At 41.4% G+C, this 17,532-nt stretch overlaps 1 long non-coding RNA gene across 8 annotated transcripts in view; it reads left to right on the forward strand.

Annotated features, from left to right (window-relative positions):
* The first annotated feature begins 528 nt into the window (after positions 1 to 528).
* The window catches only part of LINC02436 (long intergenic non-protein coding RNA 2436), a 55,372-nt gene continuing 38,368 nt past the window's right edge, over positions 529 to 17,532 (forward strand). For 2 of the 8 annotated variants that reach the window (NR_174106.1, NR_174102.1), the window contains exons 1-3: positions 529 to 588; positions 3,631 to 3,889; positions 11,109 to 11,468. This is a non-coding gene — a long non-coding RNA (long intergenic non-protein coding RNA 2436). Of the gene's footprint in view, positions 589 to 1,756; positions 1,841 to 3,630; positions 3,994 to 11,108; positions 11,469 to 11,899; positions 12,000 to 13,097; positions 13,217 to 17,532 lie in introns of all 8 variants that reach the window. The other 6 variants (NR_174105.1, NR_174103.1, NR_174104.1 and 3 more) reach the window with 5 other exon arrangements.

A 17,532-nucleotide genomic window follows, 5' to 3' on the forward strand; every position in this document is an offset into this window, starting at 1 on the left:
TTTATTAACAGCAAGACAGTCATTAGCATTCTTTCTATAGATATTAAATTAACTAAAAGTATCCCTTATGGGAAACAAAGGGATGGACCAAATTAAAGGAATAGGTTGGGCTAGTTATCTGCAGCAGGAGCAGGTCCTTAAGGCACAGATCACTCATGCTATTGTTTGTGGCTTACGAATGCCAGGTGTTCCTTGCCCTCATTCCCGTAAACCCACAACCTTCCAGTTTGGGCGTTAAGGCCATTATGAACATGTTACAGTGCTACAGAGATTTTGTTTATGGCCAGTTTTGGGGGCAATTTATGGCCAGAATTTGGGGGAGGGGGCTGCTGCCAACACTGCGGGCTCTCTCAGAATGCAGAGGCTTCTGCTTTTTCACGAAATTTCTCTTTGCAAGGCTCAAGAACATCCAATAGAGATTTCCCATCACAAAGACTGGGTAACCCTTTCCTGAAAAGAAAGGTAGAATCATTTCAACAACCCCTCTTCCTTCCTTAGTAACATAGAATGTTGATTGTCCTGAGTTCCAGAGCCTCAAAGAGCACCCAGCATAACTGTGGGAGAATAGTAAGCATTGGACACAAAATGGTAAGGAAAGTGCTTGAAGCGACATTTTCTTTTTCCCTTTACTATCCCGAGATGATTAATCTTTTGAAGGTTGAAAGTTTTTTGTGTTTGTTTGTTTGTTGTTGTTGTTGTTGTTGTTGACAGAGTCCTGCTCTGTCGCCAGGCTGGAGTGCAGTGGCGCAATCTCAGGTCACTGCAACCTCTGCCTCCCGGGTTGAAGCAATTCTCCTGTCTCAGCTCTCGAGTAGCTGGGATTACAGGTGCGTGCAACCAAGCCCAGCTAATTTTTGTATTTTTAGTAGAGACGGGGTTTCACCATGTTGGCCAGGCTGATCTTGAACTCCTGACCTCAGGTGATCCGCCCACCCCAGCCTCCCAAAGTGCGGGGATTACAGGTGTCAGCCACTGGGCCCAGCCTGAACATTTTTTTTAATGGTTTAGAGATGATGAGTGTAAATCCATGCCTTCTGGTGCCTGAAGGGCTTGTTTGAGCTGGAACGTCCTTGACTCGGGAAATATCACTGTGTTCAGAGCTCACCTCCCTGTGCATCACACAAAGCGTGCTCTTCCAGAGCTTCCTGAGCTGAGGTGCTTGTTAACAAGAGTATCTTGACTGAGGTCAAGACTAGTCACCTTTTTCAAATTCAGGTGATGGCACCAAATTCTTGGAGGGCTTTGGCAATTCGGCCTAGGTAATTTGTCCTTCGGGAAAATTGCTGAAATACACCAAAATATATAAAAATCCATTTTTTAAATTTCATCACATAAAAGGAAGTCTACAATGAGATTTTAAAATTAAATTGTGTAGTAGATTTCCATGTGGGTAGTGGAGCCCACTTTTTCAAACTTTCCTGTGGTACAATTTTCATTAACATCTTCCTTGGGTACTCAAGAGATTCACTGCTGCTAGAAAGTAACAACTGTAAGACTCCATGTAATATAGCAGGGTTTTATTTGATGGTCCAGAAGAAGAAAGGAAAAAAATTACAAACAAAATCTTCTTGAAATTCCAAAAGACTTGGCAGTCAGAAATGGAACATTCTATCAGAACTGTTGAAGGATACTGAACAGTTGATTCAAACAGTCTTTGTGAATTTTTCAATTAAAAACAGAAGTGAGGACTTGGGTTCCCATTAATTAAGTCTATTTATTAAGCCAGCACAAAGTGTCACTTCTTTTTCCATTCAAGGAAAAGCTGACCTTCTGGTACGGAAGAGCATGAGCAGTGAGTGAGCAGTGCCCATGCGTTGTGAGGCGGCCTCCATGGTATAAGGTGAGGCCCTGCCCCGACCTGGGGAGCACAGAGACTGGAGAATTAGACAGTGTTCCCATCCCTGGATCTATAGCATCAAGTGAGTGTGCAGCCTGAAAATGAGGGACAGGCAGCAACCTCCCAGCCAGTTTTTTTTTTTTTTTTTTTTTTTTTGAGACGGAGTCTCGCTCTGTCGCCCAGGCTGGAGTGCGGGGGCGCGATCTCGGCTCACTGCAAGCTCCGCCTCCCGGGTTCACGCCATTCTCCTGCCTCAGCCTCCCGAGTAGCTGGGACTACAGGCACCCGCCACCACGCCCAGCTAATTTTTTGTATTTTTCGTAGAGACGAGGTTTCACTGTGTTGGCGAGAATGGTCTCGATCTCTCGACCTCGTGATCCGCCCTCCTCGGCCTCCCAAAGTGCTGGGGTGACAGGCATGAGCCTGCGCGCCCGACCCCAGCCAGCTTTTAAAAGGAAGAAAAAAGCAACCCTCCTCCACTCCTCTCCAGCCCCCGTGAAGACCAGCATCTTTTCAGAAGACCAGGAAAAAACAGCCTCGGGCACTCAGTACGGATGGGCAGGTGCCGGGCCTGGTGCTGTCACTGAGGGGCAGCCCAGCAGGGTTAAAGGGGAGGTGGCCCAGCTCCTCCAGGACCCGGGAGACCTGACACAGGCACACTCAAGTGCGCCGGATAAAGAGGCTACAAAAACATGGCAGCCCCTAATGAGATATTTTTGCGCTTGGGCGAACGAAGGGCTGCTTCAGGAGGCTAGTGACGAAAAACCTGCCTGGCTTTTGTGCGGAGAAACGGCAGGCCCTTTCCATCCTTTTCTGGGGGGTAGGTTCTAAAAAGAAGGCCTTTCGGAGTCTTCACGAGAGATGTGGATTTTAAGGGCGACCTTAGGTCATACAGAACTAATCAAGCGAAAACAATAAGAAAATGAGCCTGACAGTCAGCAAGTATCTGAGGACTTTATCAAAAAGAATTAGAAATGGACAAATTCACTGGGAGCTGCAAAGGATCAAATCTGCAAGGTGGCATTGTGTGGCTGGGATTAGATTATTTATTCATTGTTAATTTATTTATTTATGTATGTGCAAATGACCTTGCTGCTGCAGATGCTAAGGCGCCTCTGAAAAGGCCGGGATTTTTAGATCCAGGCCTAGAATATGGGTCCATTTAACTCATTCTTTCCTTAAGGCGATCAGCACTGACTTTTATCTAAGGAGATAGAGGAGGAAAAACCATATGTGTTCAGGGAACGATGCAGGACTCAAGCAGTCCTAAGGACCCAAGTATTTCAGCTTCATTCGAGATTCTGGGGAAGACTCCATGCAGTTGAATGTCCAACAAATTAGCAAATGAATGCTTATGTCAATATGTGAAAAATCCTGGTTAGTTTAAACAGATAAAAAAGCCTCTGGGGAAACCCCAGAAAATGCAAGCTCTTTTTCTTTCTCTTTTTAGTTAATTTAATTTAATTTTTAAAAGAAGGTACAGCACTTCCGGAGTTCCATGGAAACCCACAAAAGTTACACAAAATAAAAAGGTCTAATGGATCCTTGATCTTGTACATGCTTGAAATCGTCTCAGTGCGACCACTGGAAGAAATAAGGAGATTGAATCAGCCATTCTCTGTATCGTGTTCACTATTGAATAGTGCCCTGCCCAAACTGAAAAGCAGAGAACCCATCTTCACCTCCTATACACGCCTAAGGAGTGAAAAACAAATAATTACTCTGTATGTATGACAACATAGTTTGTAGAGGGAACCTGAGGGTTAAATCAGTCATGATCTTATTTTCTCTAGGTTTAGGCAAATAATGATGAACAAAAATGGTCAGTCTGTGTTCCTGCTGACCCAGCACAGTGGGGACGCTGTGTAGGACATGACCTTTGGGGGAAAGGACACAAGAACTCAGCGTGGGGGATCCAGAAAAGAAGTCGCACGTATTGAAGCCAGTAACGCCAAGCCAGTGAATTCTCCTTGACGAGAAAGACCCACTTACTCTGCAGAAGAGATATATGACAGCTGACAATCCCTGGAGGAGAATCTTTCTACTAAATTGGTAAGGGATGCTAAGCAAATGATGTGGACTCAGGAAACAACGCATTTCATGATATACGGTTGCCTCTCAAGGTGAATTCGAGACCCCTCTTGAATTACAAAGAGGTAAGCTGTCTCCAAAAGGGGAGAAAATGAAAGAATGAAAAAAGAAAAAAAAAACAAGGGAAACTCCTTCAAATAGAACAGCAAGATCTCTCACATATTCAGTTGTTCTTGGTCCTTAAAATATTTAGCACCCAAGTGCTGATTAAGTTCTAAAGGTGAAAAGGGAAAACGTAGAGGACTTTTCTATACTGCTGAACATCATTCATTTATTCTCCACTATTTTGAAAGTGGGTATTTTGGCACTAAATACCAAACTACCTAAAGAGTAAAACCTTCAAAATAATTTATCTCCTCATAAATCAGCTTGGACTTACCTAAGAGTAAAGGGATAGTCAGTCTAAAATCAATAACAGTTATAAGCCAAACCTTCATAAAATTATGAATTCCTTAGGTGTGTTTTCAACTTTTAAATCCCATAATTAATTTTCCTGTGTTAGAGTTTTATTTTGTTTGTGGCACGTTGCAATGTAGTGATATATGCCTGCTTTGAATAGGAATTTTTAAATCACTTATTCCTAGTTAGGTTTTTATTTGTAATATGGATAGTGCTGCTTGAAGTAGTAACACTCCACGTTTAAGTTTTCCCCGTAATGGATAGATAAGCCTTCTTTCCCATGATTCCAAATAATGAGCATTTTATTTTAATACTGTGACAGAGTGAAGAAAAGGAGTAAACGTAAAGATCTACCCCAATGTATTTTACAAAAACATCTACTTGGAAATACCGTGGTTTATTATTCCTGGCGACACAACTTGGCATTTTTTTCCCCTTTCTGTTGTGCTTCATTTTATTGCGCTTCACAGATACTGAGTTTTTACTTTTTTTCTTTTCTAGTGTTTCTTTGTTATTTCTTCAGCCTTTATTTTAAGTTCCTACTCACTTGCAAATTTTTTTACAGAGTACGAATGAATGCCTGAAAGTCAAAGTATATGTACCCCGGAACAACTTGTCATTTAACAACAAAAACAAAACTTTGACATTCAGGCCTTCATTTGTACTCTGTAAAAAATCCGCAAATGAATATTTTCTGAAGGGAAGGAAAGAAGCACCTTTACCATTTTGTTATTCTCTTGTTATCTGTGAAGTTTGATTTATTGGAAACTACCAAGAAAGAAATTAGCAGAAATCATCACAGCAAGACTCTTTAAGGAATGGATGGAATTTAGAAAGGAATTAGCTGGAAAAAAATGCAAAATTTTTAAGTGCCAATTTTCCATTTAATTTTCACCAGCAATCCCCATTTCACGAATGCTGTTTCTGAGCTTGAAATGTCAAAATAATCAAAAATAAACATAGCTCACGTACTGAATTTTATCATTAAAATACTTTGTTTTCCATTGAGTGTTGGGACATCTTTTTGTTGATAACTGCTCATGCAGAACACGAGCAGATGTTCTGGTTTTGTGAGGGCATCATAGATAGGATGCTGCTCCTTAGTGGTGGGAGATTCAGAGCTGGCAAAGAAATTCAAAAGTTATCTTTTATAAGCCCGAACATCATACAAAGCAACTAAAGCAAAATGCATCCATATCTTACCATGCTCACCCTTTCCAAGTCATGCACAGGTGTTCATTCTCTCTTTTTATTATGATAGCAGTAAGCAACAGCAACATGTATTGATGCCTTAGAATATTCCAGGCATTGTGCAAAGCAATTATCATAGAATACTTCCTTTCAGACTCAGAATAACCTGTGAGATAGCTATGATTATTTCCATTTTCCACAAGAGGAAACTAGTCATCAACAAGGCTAAGTAACCCTTCCCAGGTCAGATAATAGTGAAGGGCAGAGCTGGGATTTGAACTTGTGCCAGTCTAATTGCAGAGCCCAAGCTCTTAGATACTATGTGCCTGCCTCTTTTAAGCACGGTTCACTTCTGCTTCTTGCTTTTAAATGCTTAAAAATGATTCGATTCTACATTGCACAATTTCTTCTAATGAATTCGACCTCAGCATTAACAGGCCATACAAGTGTACTTTCTGTAGGGTGGCTTGATTTGTCCCTGGAGATGTTGACAGGATTCTGTGAAGGTTTGGGTGGCTACTTCCTCCTTTCCTCTAGAAGCTCTGGCCCTTTCCTAATGGCAAGTCTGCTCACCAGCCCCCAGCTTCCTCTCTCATGGCTCCCATCATGCCCAGACCCACCATTTTCTTTTCTCTGCCTTTTTCTGCTTTATTAGATCTTCTCTCACCTAGTACTTAATACTGACTGCTAATAAGAATAACAAACATTTCTATATGTGCTCAGCACTGTTCTAAAGGATTTATATGTACTAAGTAGCTATAACCTCATAACAACCCTACTGCGGAGGTACAGTCATTGATCCTCATTTACACATATGGAACGGAGACACAGATTGAGTCACTTAACAAAGGTCACACAATTAGGAAATGGTACAGGTCATGATCTTAACCAATGTATTGTGTCGTGTGATGGCACCTTGAGTGATGTGCTTGTGTGCTTATTGTCTGCCTCCTATTTTTAGTGTGTAACAGGAGAGGAATTTCCATGTTGCTCACCAGTGGATCTACAGTCTTTAGAAGAATGCCTAGCATACAGTAGGTCCCAATAAATACATGTTGACTGACAGCTTCTCTCCCATCTTGGCTTATCAAGGGCATTTCCCTGATCCTTATTGAAACTGCGGTAACTCAATCCCATCTTTACATTCACAGGATGAAATGGTCATTCATAGAGTAGTGTAATCTTCAGGTCTTTTGCTCTCTTCAGGTTTGAAGTTTGGGGTGGTGAGGGAACTCAAAGGTCTCTGAGATGGAAGAAACCTTACAGATGTGCTTCTCCGCCCTGCTCAGTACCTTACAAAGGTCATCCCTCCCTGCAAACTTCATCCCCTGAGCTCCTGTGCCTCTGCGTTCGAGCTCGATTTGCCAGTGAGAGACAGCAGGAAATGGAGGCCGGGAAGTTCTAGCCCAGCTACTTCTTTGCCTTGGCACCACAATTCTGCCAGAGGCTGCTCCCTCTGGAACTACCAGTTCCTGCTGCGGGGGGGTCTCCCTTCCAGCTGTTGCTGACCACTCTCCTACAGCTCCCTTGGTCTCCTTGAACAGCACTGTTCCGCTTTGCTCCCTCAGGCCTGATGGTGGGGCCTTCCCACTGTTGCTTGTTCTTGGGTACTTCAGTATCCTTTGTAGGCTTCCTCAATCCTGCTCACATCTCTGTAAATAGCTCTTTCATTTGATACGCTTCAAAAATCCCAGCTGAAAATTCCTTCTTCCTGTTGGGTTGCTAATACAGAGACCACTTGGTCCAAATTCCCATCAAATGCAGCAATCTGCTCTGCAACATCCCCAGCCTCTATTTACCCACTTCCAGCATTCCAAGGCATCTATTCCATTCATAGACCGTCCTATTATTAGAATGTTATTCCTACTATTAAAATGTTATTCCTTTTTTGGAGGCAAAAATGTTATCCCTTTTTTGGAGGCAAAAAAGTTCTGCTTCCCATGAAATGCTATTTCTGTCATCTGAAGCACACAGAATAAGCCTCCTCTTTCCTCTACCTGACAGCCCTGTAAATATTGCAACACAGCTGTCATGACCTCCCCCAAATCTTCTCCTCTCCAGGCTCAATGCATTCCACTTATTTTCCACTTTACATTTCTCCATGCTCCCATTTAAGCACCTGAAAATGAGGGAGTAAAGAAATGGGAGAATGAATTTATAATAGTGGATAGGTGTGAGTGGTAGGATCAGGAAACCAGGAAGGAAGCGGAATCTCCAGATTTCTGGACTTATCCCTGAGGCTCACTTGTCAGCTTCCCACTATACCTCTTTTATTGTTATTACTGCTTAAACTCATATCACTTCATCATTCTCTTTTTTGCATTTTTTGTGTGAAAATAGAATAACATAAAAGTTACCATTTTAACCATTTTTACATGTACAGTTCAATGGTGTTAAATACATTCAAAATATTGTGCAACCATCACCATTATCCATTTCCAGACCTTTTACATCATCCCAAGCAGAAACTCTGTGCTCATTAAACAACAAATTTCCATCCGCTCCTCCCTCAGTCCCTGGTAATCTCTACTCTAGGTTCTGTCTCTAGGAGTTACCTATTCACATAAATAGAATCATGCAATATTTGTCCCTTTGTGTCTGGTTTATTTCATCTAGCATAATGAGTTCAGGGTTCATCCATGTTGCAGTATGTATCAGAATTTCTTTCATTTTTAAGGCTGAATAATATTCCGCTATAGTTATATACCACGTTTTGTTGATCTATTCATCTGTTGATACACACTTGGGTTGCTTTCATCTTTTTAACTATTGTGAATAATACTGCTATGAACAAATATCTGCTCAAGTCCTTGCTTTCAGTTCTTTTTGATATGTACCCAGAAGTGAAATTGCCAGATCATATGGTAATTCTATGTTTAACTTTTTTGAGAAACTGCCAATCTGTTTTCCACGGTGTCAGTACCATTTCTTATTCCTACCAGCAATGTGTGAGGGTTTCAGTCTTCTCATATCCTCAGCCAATACTTGTTTTTTTGTTTAGTTTTGCTTTTAATTGAGATAAGGTCTCACTCTCTCACCCAGGCTGGAGTGCACTGGTGCCATCCTGGCTCACTGCAGCCTCTACCTCCTGGGCTTAAGCGATTCTCCCACCTCAGCCTCCCAAATAGCTGGGATCACAGGTGCATGCATCCATGCCCAGCTAATTTTTTTAGTTTTGGTGGATACAGGGTTTCCCCATGTTTCCTAGGCTGGTCTCAAACTCCTGAGCTCAAGCGATCTGCCTACCTTGGCCTCCCAAAGTGCTGGAATTACAGGCGTGACCCACCAGGCCTGGCCCAACACTTGCTTTTTTTTAAAAAAATAGCCATCCTAACAGGTGTGACCATTCTCTTTAAAATTTTTTTAAAAAAGGTTTATTGGGGTAACTGACGTACAATGAAACAGCAATATTTAATGTGTATAATTTGATACGGTTTGACATATGTATATACCCATGAAACCGTCATCACAGTCAAGATTATTGCTACCATTTCTATTACCCCAGAAGTTTCCTCAAGCCCCTTCACAATCTCTCCCTCCTCCTCACCACTCCCTTTCCCAGGCAACTTCAACCAGTTATTAACCCCCTATGTACTTCAGTTCCCCTTACCTCACCTGCTCATTTCCTTCCATCTGTGAAGCTTGATCGCTTGGATCCAAGATGAGGGCAAAATGTATTAGCAGATACATTCAGTAACTTTTACACATACCAAGTTCCCTGCCCCCAGCAAGCCAGCCATAAGTACCAAGAACTTATGAAACTTAAGAGGAAGTTGAAAATTAAACTTGCAGTCACTGCTTATACCTCCCTCTTTTCCAGACACATACAAAGAAATCAGATTTAAATTACAGTTACCTTTGAGGTAAGAATTATTATTACGATTTCATAGACAAAGGAACTGAAGCTTGAAGAGGTTAGACAACTTGTTCAGAATCCTACAACTCAACACCAAAAGCACAAACCATAAAAGAAAACATTGATAAGCTGGACTAGATCAAAATTTAAAACTTTTGTGCTTAAAAGACACCAATGGGCTGGGTGCAGTGGCTCATGACTGTAATCGCCAACACTTTGGGAGGCCAAGACCGGTGGATCCCTCGAGCCCAGCAGTTCAAAACCAGCCTGGGCAACATGGTGAGATCCCCATCTCTACCCAAAATACAAAAATAGCTGGGTGTGGTGGTGCACACTTGTAGTCCCAGCTACTCCGGGGGCTGAGGTGGGAGAATTACCTGAGCCCAGAAGGTCAAGCCGTAGTGAGCTGTGATTGTGCCATTGCACTCCAGCCTGGTTGACACAGTGAGACCCTGTCTCAAAAAAAAAAAAGACACGATTGAGAACATAAAAAGACAAGTCACAGGCTGGGATAAGATGTGTGCAAATCATATATGTGATAAAAGACTTAAATCTAGAATATATAGAGAGCATTTACAATGACCAACACATAGAAAGTTCTTGCCAAATGACCAAATTTTTTATATGAGCAAAAGATTTGAATAGACATTTTCCCAAAGGTGAAATGTCAATGTCTAATATATGAAGAAAAGATGCTCAAAACTATTATTCATTAGGGAAATGCAAATTAAAACCAGAAGAAGATACCTCTAGACACCCACTAGGATGGCTATGATGAAAAAGACAGACAATAACAAGTGTTGTTAAGGAAACAGGGAAATTGAAACCCTTATGTATTGCTACTAGGATTGTAAAATGGTACAGACACTTTGGAATGCAGTTTGGCAGTTTCTTAAAAACTTAAACAAACGAATAATACAACCCAGCAATTCTATTTCTAAGAATCTATCAGAAAAATGAAAATCCATGTCCACACAAAGACATGTACACAAAAGTTTATAGCACTATTATTCATGCTAGTCAAAAACTGGAAACAGTCTAAATAGCTATCCACTGATGAATGAATATGCAAAATATGGTACATTCCTACAATGGAATACTATTCAGCAATGAAAAGGAATGGATTTCTTTACATGCTACAACATGGATGAACTTTAAAACCATTAAGCGCAAGAAGTTAGACACGAAATACATACTGCATAATTGATTCCATTTATAGGAAATATCTAGTAAAAACAAACTTACAGAAGCAGAAAGCAGATGGAAATGTTCTAAAACTGGTTTGTGGTGGCAGTTCCACAACTCAACAAATTTACTAAAATCACTTACAATGGGTGAATTTTATCATACGTAAATTATACTTCAATAAACCTCCTTGTAAAATCACACGACTATTAAACGGTAGCACAAGTTGTAAAGAAAGTTATCTTCAAAGACCTATGATTAGTAAACCTACTCAAAGACATAGGATGTAGAATATATAAGTTGGTGCTGGAGTTCCTCCACCTCCCTAAAAATTAACAAGAAGCTTATTTGGGGGATTGTATTAAACAATCATACTTTAGTTAATTCTTTCATTAAAGGCCATTAGTTATTTTATAGCCTTTTACTGTGTTTTAGATGTCTCACAGTTTTACGTCAGTCTATTATATTCCCTGAAGACTTTGTTAAATATATACAGTGGATGTATTTTTGTGATTTTAGTTTAAATTTGCTTTATATGAATTCTTACAGTTGAAAACATTCAAGTACGGAATAAACTATTACTGCGAATACGCTCATATGACACAAGAACAATCTCTGAGCTTCTTTGAGGATGTCCAGATGACTGCTGACTGCACTAATTGCATCAATCGTGTATCCATACAGGTTCTTTCTATAAAATAGTGGTCGCTAGTTATGAGGCGTTAAGCCTTCATGGATATAAACAGACTATTCCACCTAAGTGATCTGGCAGAAGCTTAGTTTTCTACCACAACATCCACCGTCCTCCCTCCCTCCCTTCCTAGCTGGTCAGAAAAGCTACTCAGAATAAAGACTACATTTCCCAGCCATCTTTGCAGCTAGGTTTATCCACCTGACTAAATTCCACCGGTAAGATAAAAGCAGAAGTGTTTTTTTGTTTGTTTGTTTGTTTGTTTGTGACGGAGTTTTGTTCTTATTGCCCAGGCTGGAGTGCGATGGCACAATCTCGGCTCACCGCAGCCCCTGCCTCCTGGGTTCAAGTGATTCTCCTGCCTCAGGCTCCCGAGTAGCTGAGTTTACAGGCGTGCGCCACCACGCCCAGCTAATTTTGTATTTTTAGTAGAGACGGGGTTTCTCCATGTGGGTCAGGCTGGTCTCGAACTCCCGACTTCAGGTGATCCGCCCGCCTCAGCCTCCCAAAGTGCTGGGATTACAGGCGTGAGCCACCGCGCCGAGCCTAAGCAGAAGTGTTTGCAAGTGCCCTGAGAATCGTGCTTAAAGGGAACAGACTCAGCTAGAAAGAAGCCCTTTCCACCATTCCACCTTTTCCCCTTCTTCAGGCCTGCCACAAGAATACGAAGGCCAGAGCTCCAGCAGCTGTTGGAGCCACGATGTGACCCTGAAGGCAGGAAACTCAGCTTTGGAAGGTAGAGAGCCTGGGTAATACCTGGAGCCGCCACATCAGCATGGGCTGCTGCCTCCATTCTTCTCTTATGGAACAGAAAAACATGCTTCTGTCCTGTTTAAGACATAGGGGCCAAGTTTCTTTTACTCACACAGAGCCTCATCCTAAGTGACACAAGGTCTAACAGAAAAAGATCCAATGGAATCCTTTCTCTAAGGAATGAGCGGAGAGAGGAGAGCAAGGCAATGAAGTTCTTTTTTTTTTTTTCCAGATGGAGTTTTCGCTCTTGTCGCCCAGGCTGGAGTGCAATGGCACAATCTCGGCTCACGGCAACCTCCATCTCCTGGGTTCAAGCAATTCTCCTGCCTCAGCCTTCCAGCCTCCCAAGTAGCTGGGATTACAGGCATGCACCACAACGTCTGGCTAATTTTTTTGTATTTAGTAGAGACAGGGTTTCACCATATTAGTCAGGCTGGTCTCGAACTCCTGATCTCAAGTGATCCACCCACCTTGGCCTCCCAAAGTGCTGGGATTATAGGCGTGAGCCACTGCACCTGGCCGGAAGTGAGGTTATACAGCAGCATGTCTGTGAGGCCTCAGCAGAGAGGTCCAGTCACACTCAGTAGCCATGGTTAACGACTACACCTGCTATGCTGGAAACCACCTCAATAACGAGATTCATAGAACTATACTTAATAACTGCTCCCTAGTGATACAGCAAAAGGTGAATACATACACATCAAATGTTCACGTCCCAAATCTGGTTTATTTCTTCCAACATAAAGATTGGAGAATTATTGTAAGGTGAAAGCTAAGTCCATCAAGGAGTCCCTGAAATGCTGATCTAATCAGAAGAAGCTTCTTAAAATTCTCAAACTCTGCAGTTTCTTAAAATTCTTAAAAATACAGTGCTTGTTGACCATATGTAAGATGAATATATTATCTAGATCCTCTGTCTTTTCTCTGAATTATGTACCACTCAGACTTAGACTCACCAAGACCTACATGTGCTAGGCCTCTCACGTGCTAGTTAATGAACATAATATAGTAGCTATCTTAATGCCATGTGCAGATAAATGTTTCATGATTTTTTTGTGTGAGAAAAATGTGAATTTTTTTTTTTTTTTTTTTAGGCAGGACCTTGCTCTGTCACCCAGGCTGTAGTGCAATGGTGTGATCTCAGCTTACTGCAGCCTCAACCTCCTGGGCTCAAGTGATCCTACCACAGCTTCCTGAGTAGCTGGGACTACAGGTGTGTGCCACCACACCTGGTTAATTTATTTTATTTTATTTTTGTAGAGATAGGGTCTCACTATGTTGCCCAGGCTGGTCTTCAACTCTTGGCCTCAAGTGATTCTCTTGCCTCAGCCTCCCAGAGGGCTGGGATTATAGGCATGAGCCACCACGTCCAGCCTAAATGTGATGAGTTTTAGACCTATGATAATGGTTTGCTGGTGGTAGTACAGGGCAGATAATGCATATGCCAGTATCTTCAGTGAGGAATTGCTGCAAAGCATAGGTGGGTTCACTGGTGGAATAGAGTGTGGATTGGTAGTTTGGGCTCTAGTGCAGATGTATTGCCAATTTTAGGCTTAGAGATCTAACAAACATACTTAGATTCACACAAACATTAATTCCTGCCCTCATATCATATGGCCGGCTCTCAAGATGATGCCGAAGAAAGACAAGAAGCATATGTGGTCAACATGGAAGTTTAATTTGGACCTTACTCATTCAATAGAAGATGGAACTTTTGATTCTGGAAATTTTGAACAGTTTCTAAAAGGTTAAAATCAATGGAAAAACTGAAAATCTCACAGATGTTGTTAACAGTGAATGCTTCAAAAATAAAATCACAGTTGTTTCTGAGAAACAATTTTCTAAAAGGTCCTTAAAATGCCTCACCAAGAAATACCTTAGGGAGAACAATCTTCGTGATTGGCCTTGAGTGGCTGCATCCTGCAAGGAGCCTCACTGACCTCACTGCCTCCCCATCAGTCACAGTGAAGATGGGTGAGCCTGAGGAGCAGGTAAAGCTTCCTTCCAGGGCTTTGCTTACCAATACAACAAATCGAGCATACACGAGAAAGAAACATCTAGAAATTGACTTTCAGTTTATTGGTGAATAAAAACATTGTACTCTTTAAAACATTAATTCCTGAAATTAATCTTCCTTAGAAGCCTCATCTTTCTTGAGTCTCAAATTTCTTCCCTGTTCCAGAAAGAAAGTGGACAATATGACCTCTGCGGTTCCCTTGCTGAGGATATGAATTCTCTTCTGGAAGTGACCAAAACATAAAAATATAAATTAAAATAGTGCATATACGGCTGGGCGCGGTGGCTCACGCCTGTAATCCCAGCACTTTGGGAGGCCGAGGTGGGCGGATCACGAGGTCGGGAGATCGAGACCATCCTGGCTAACACGGTGAAACCCCGTCTCTACTAAAAATACAAAAAATTAGCTGGGCGAGGTGGCGGGCACCTGTAATCCCAGCTACTCAAAAGGCTGAGGCAGGAGAATGGCGTGAACCCGGGAGGCGGAGCCTGCAGTGAGCCGAGATCGCGCCACTGTACTCCAACCTGGGCGACAGCGAGACTCCGTCTCAAAAAAAAAAAAAATAGTACATATACACTAAGTAAACACATTGTCTTCAGATTTGATGAAATGGAAATGTTCTGGGAAAAAACCGACATGCTTCAGGATGTACGTAGTAAGCAAACGATTTGGCTATTGAGACAAATGACCTTTCCCTTAAGATTTCAAGTCGCTAGTTATTTTAGACCTTGAAAGTTGAAAGTACTACGTTAAAACTAAAAATACATGTTACTGTGGAAATCAAAGGCGGACTTGGCATGTACGTAGTTGTCCAATCTTAATACTTTCAATAGACCTTCTTAGATACAGATACTTCGGCTATCTGCCCTGGCTGAGAGAGCCACACACCAAGCTTATCCTACTGGGTGGCTAAATGCAATCTGTGGGAAATAAAGTGGTTACAAAGTCCTTCTGCTTGTGGCTTGTCTAAACGTCCTCCCTACAGTTTAATGCACGGTATGTGGTCATCCTGGCTAGTAAGCCTAACCTGGCCAGATGGAAACAACCCAGTGTAGTTTAGAAATTAGAAAGTGTGACTGCAAGCCCCTGGGCTGATAGGCCGAAGGAGTGGTTTACTTTGAAATTCTGAGAGCCCAGAGTCCTCTCACAAGGTACATCGTAAGTTCCTAGACTCCTAAACCTCTCTGAAATCCATTTGGTTCATCAAGAACTAACTAGGCAGTCATGACAAAGGTTACATAGTAACAAGTGGAAAAGGCATACTGTGACTCACACCAAATAGGCTGTGATTTTCCTAGTAAGTAACATTGCTCCTTGCACACTAAATTATCCCATATGAATTTCTATGTCAATTTTTTTATTGCTGAAGTCATACAGGCAAATTCTGAAATGGGCGAATCTCTAGGAACAGAGACTAGATCACTGGTTGCCTGTGGCTGGGGTAGGAGATTGACTATAAAGTCTGGGGGAGGCGTTCTGGTTCTTGAGTTTGAAAGTGATGTACATTTATCAAATCCACATTCAACTGTGTACGTAAGAGGTGAATTTTATTGTATGTAAATTATACCTCCATACACCTGAGTTCAATTTTTTTTGAATCATACATCAAAAAACACAAACCAGATAATCATATTTGATCCAATTCTCTGGGTATTTTAAATACCCCACACGCATACAAAAACCCTGGCTAGAATCAGTATCTCAGCTGCTGACATAAGTATTAGACCAGAAGGACAGCAGACGAATGACACCTAACATTTGCAACCAGTGCTGCCATGAAGTCTCACTGAGATAAAACAACATTTTACCATCCACTGCATGGAATATGTTCAGCAGTGGGTAACATAAGAAATTAGGCCAGAACACTAGATCATAGTTATCTGGGACTCTAATGTGGAGTTAGTCCAGTCTCTAAAACTCTTAACATTTATTACCCTAAAATTCTGTCATGAGTTTCAGGATGCATTAATAAAATGCTTGTTTATTTCTTTAGGCACTTTGATGAATGCCTCAATAGCATTTTCTTAATTTTATTATGATCAATCACTAATAATTTTTTCTATGTATAATATTTCAAAACTTTTCAGTCTGCCTCAGTAGATTTTCCCCTAGGCTTTTCCATGCCAGCACTGCTAAACTTACACATCTGAACTTACTGACCAGCTAAATGTACTAACAGGTCTCAGTGTTCATGTGATATAACATGCTCTGAAAGAATTAGCGTAAGATTGTAGCATTTCATTCCTTACACTGAAAAGACAAATTTTATTGCAAAATCAAATATCTAAAATTATGTTCCTAGATAATATCTAAAATTCTTTTCCTACACTAAGAAATACATTTTACACCTTAACCCAGTATAGACACACACTCACACACACACACACACACAGAGAAAAAAGGTTTCATGAAAAAAATACCCTTACTATATGAGGTGCACTCCTACATTCTGTTCTATTTTGTTTTTTCTTAAATGCTGGTGATGACACATTAAATTGATTTTATGACCTACTAATGGATTCCATCCCACTATTCAATAAGCACTGTCTTAGGCCTTTGCATGTGTTAGTGTCTCTGCTTGGAATATCGTTTACTTTTTCTTCTCCTGGCCAACTCTTACCTGTCTGCCAAGATCCAGTTTAGGGTGTCTATCCGTCTCCTGCTCCCTGGATTAGTAGCCCTCTGTGTTCCAACAGCACCTCTTATACACCTGACACTCTATGTCAATCTCTTCACCAGTTTGTTGCCTCCTCTTAACTGTGAGACTCTAGGGGACAGTGATGGAGTTGCTCATCCATGTGCCCCCCTCTGCCTAGGAGAGAGTGCCCAACATAGAACAGACCTTCAAAGAATATCAGCTTAATGCGTAATTCATCTATTCCAGTTTTCATCTGGGTAGATTGAGATGTCCAAGATTACAAAGTTTGGCTATCTCCTGAGGGAACTCTTACACATTTCAGTAGCAGAGCCACCCAGAGGTGTCTAACTTTAAGTGCTTCTCTCCCCATTATGGTTTACAGCAGCAACTTTCAAATTTTTTAATCTAAGAATTCTTTTACACTCTTAAAATTAATCAGGACCCCAATCAGCATTGATTTATGTAGGAGATAATTATTTATATGTAATTATTTACTGAGAAATCCAGAGCACATACATTCATTCTAACTATCAATGTTTACCAATATAAAAACTGAGAAATATTTAAAACATAAGCAGTACGCAGCATACTTTTCAGTAGCCATCAGAGCAACGGTGTTATCACGCGTCACTTCTGCACACCCCACTCCATGCACATCAGAACGAGAGTGTGAATAACATCTTAGTAGTATTACAAATAGTTTTGACCCCACAGGCCCCTGAAAGGGTCTCAAGGACTCCAAAAAGTCCTCAGACCGTACTTTGAGAACCACTGATTCAGAGCATTTAAGTTATAGACACTGCTGCTCACGGGGGCTCGATAAAAAACCCTCTGCTTTTATCACCTGGGTCTGGAACTGAGAGAGAAGTATTAT

This window comes from Homo sapiens, chromosome 4 (assembly GCF_000001405.40).
Source record: "Homo sapiens chromosome 4, GRCh38.p14 Primary Assembly".
In the NCBI taxonomy this organism is placed as follows: domain Eukaryota; kingdom Metazoa; phylum Chordata; class Mammalia; order Primates; family Hominidae; genus Homo; species Homo sapiens.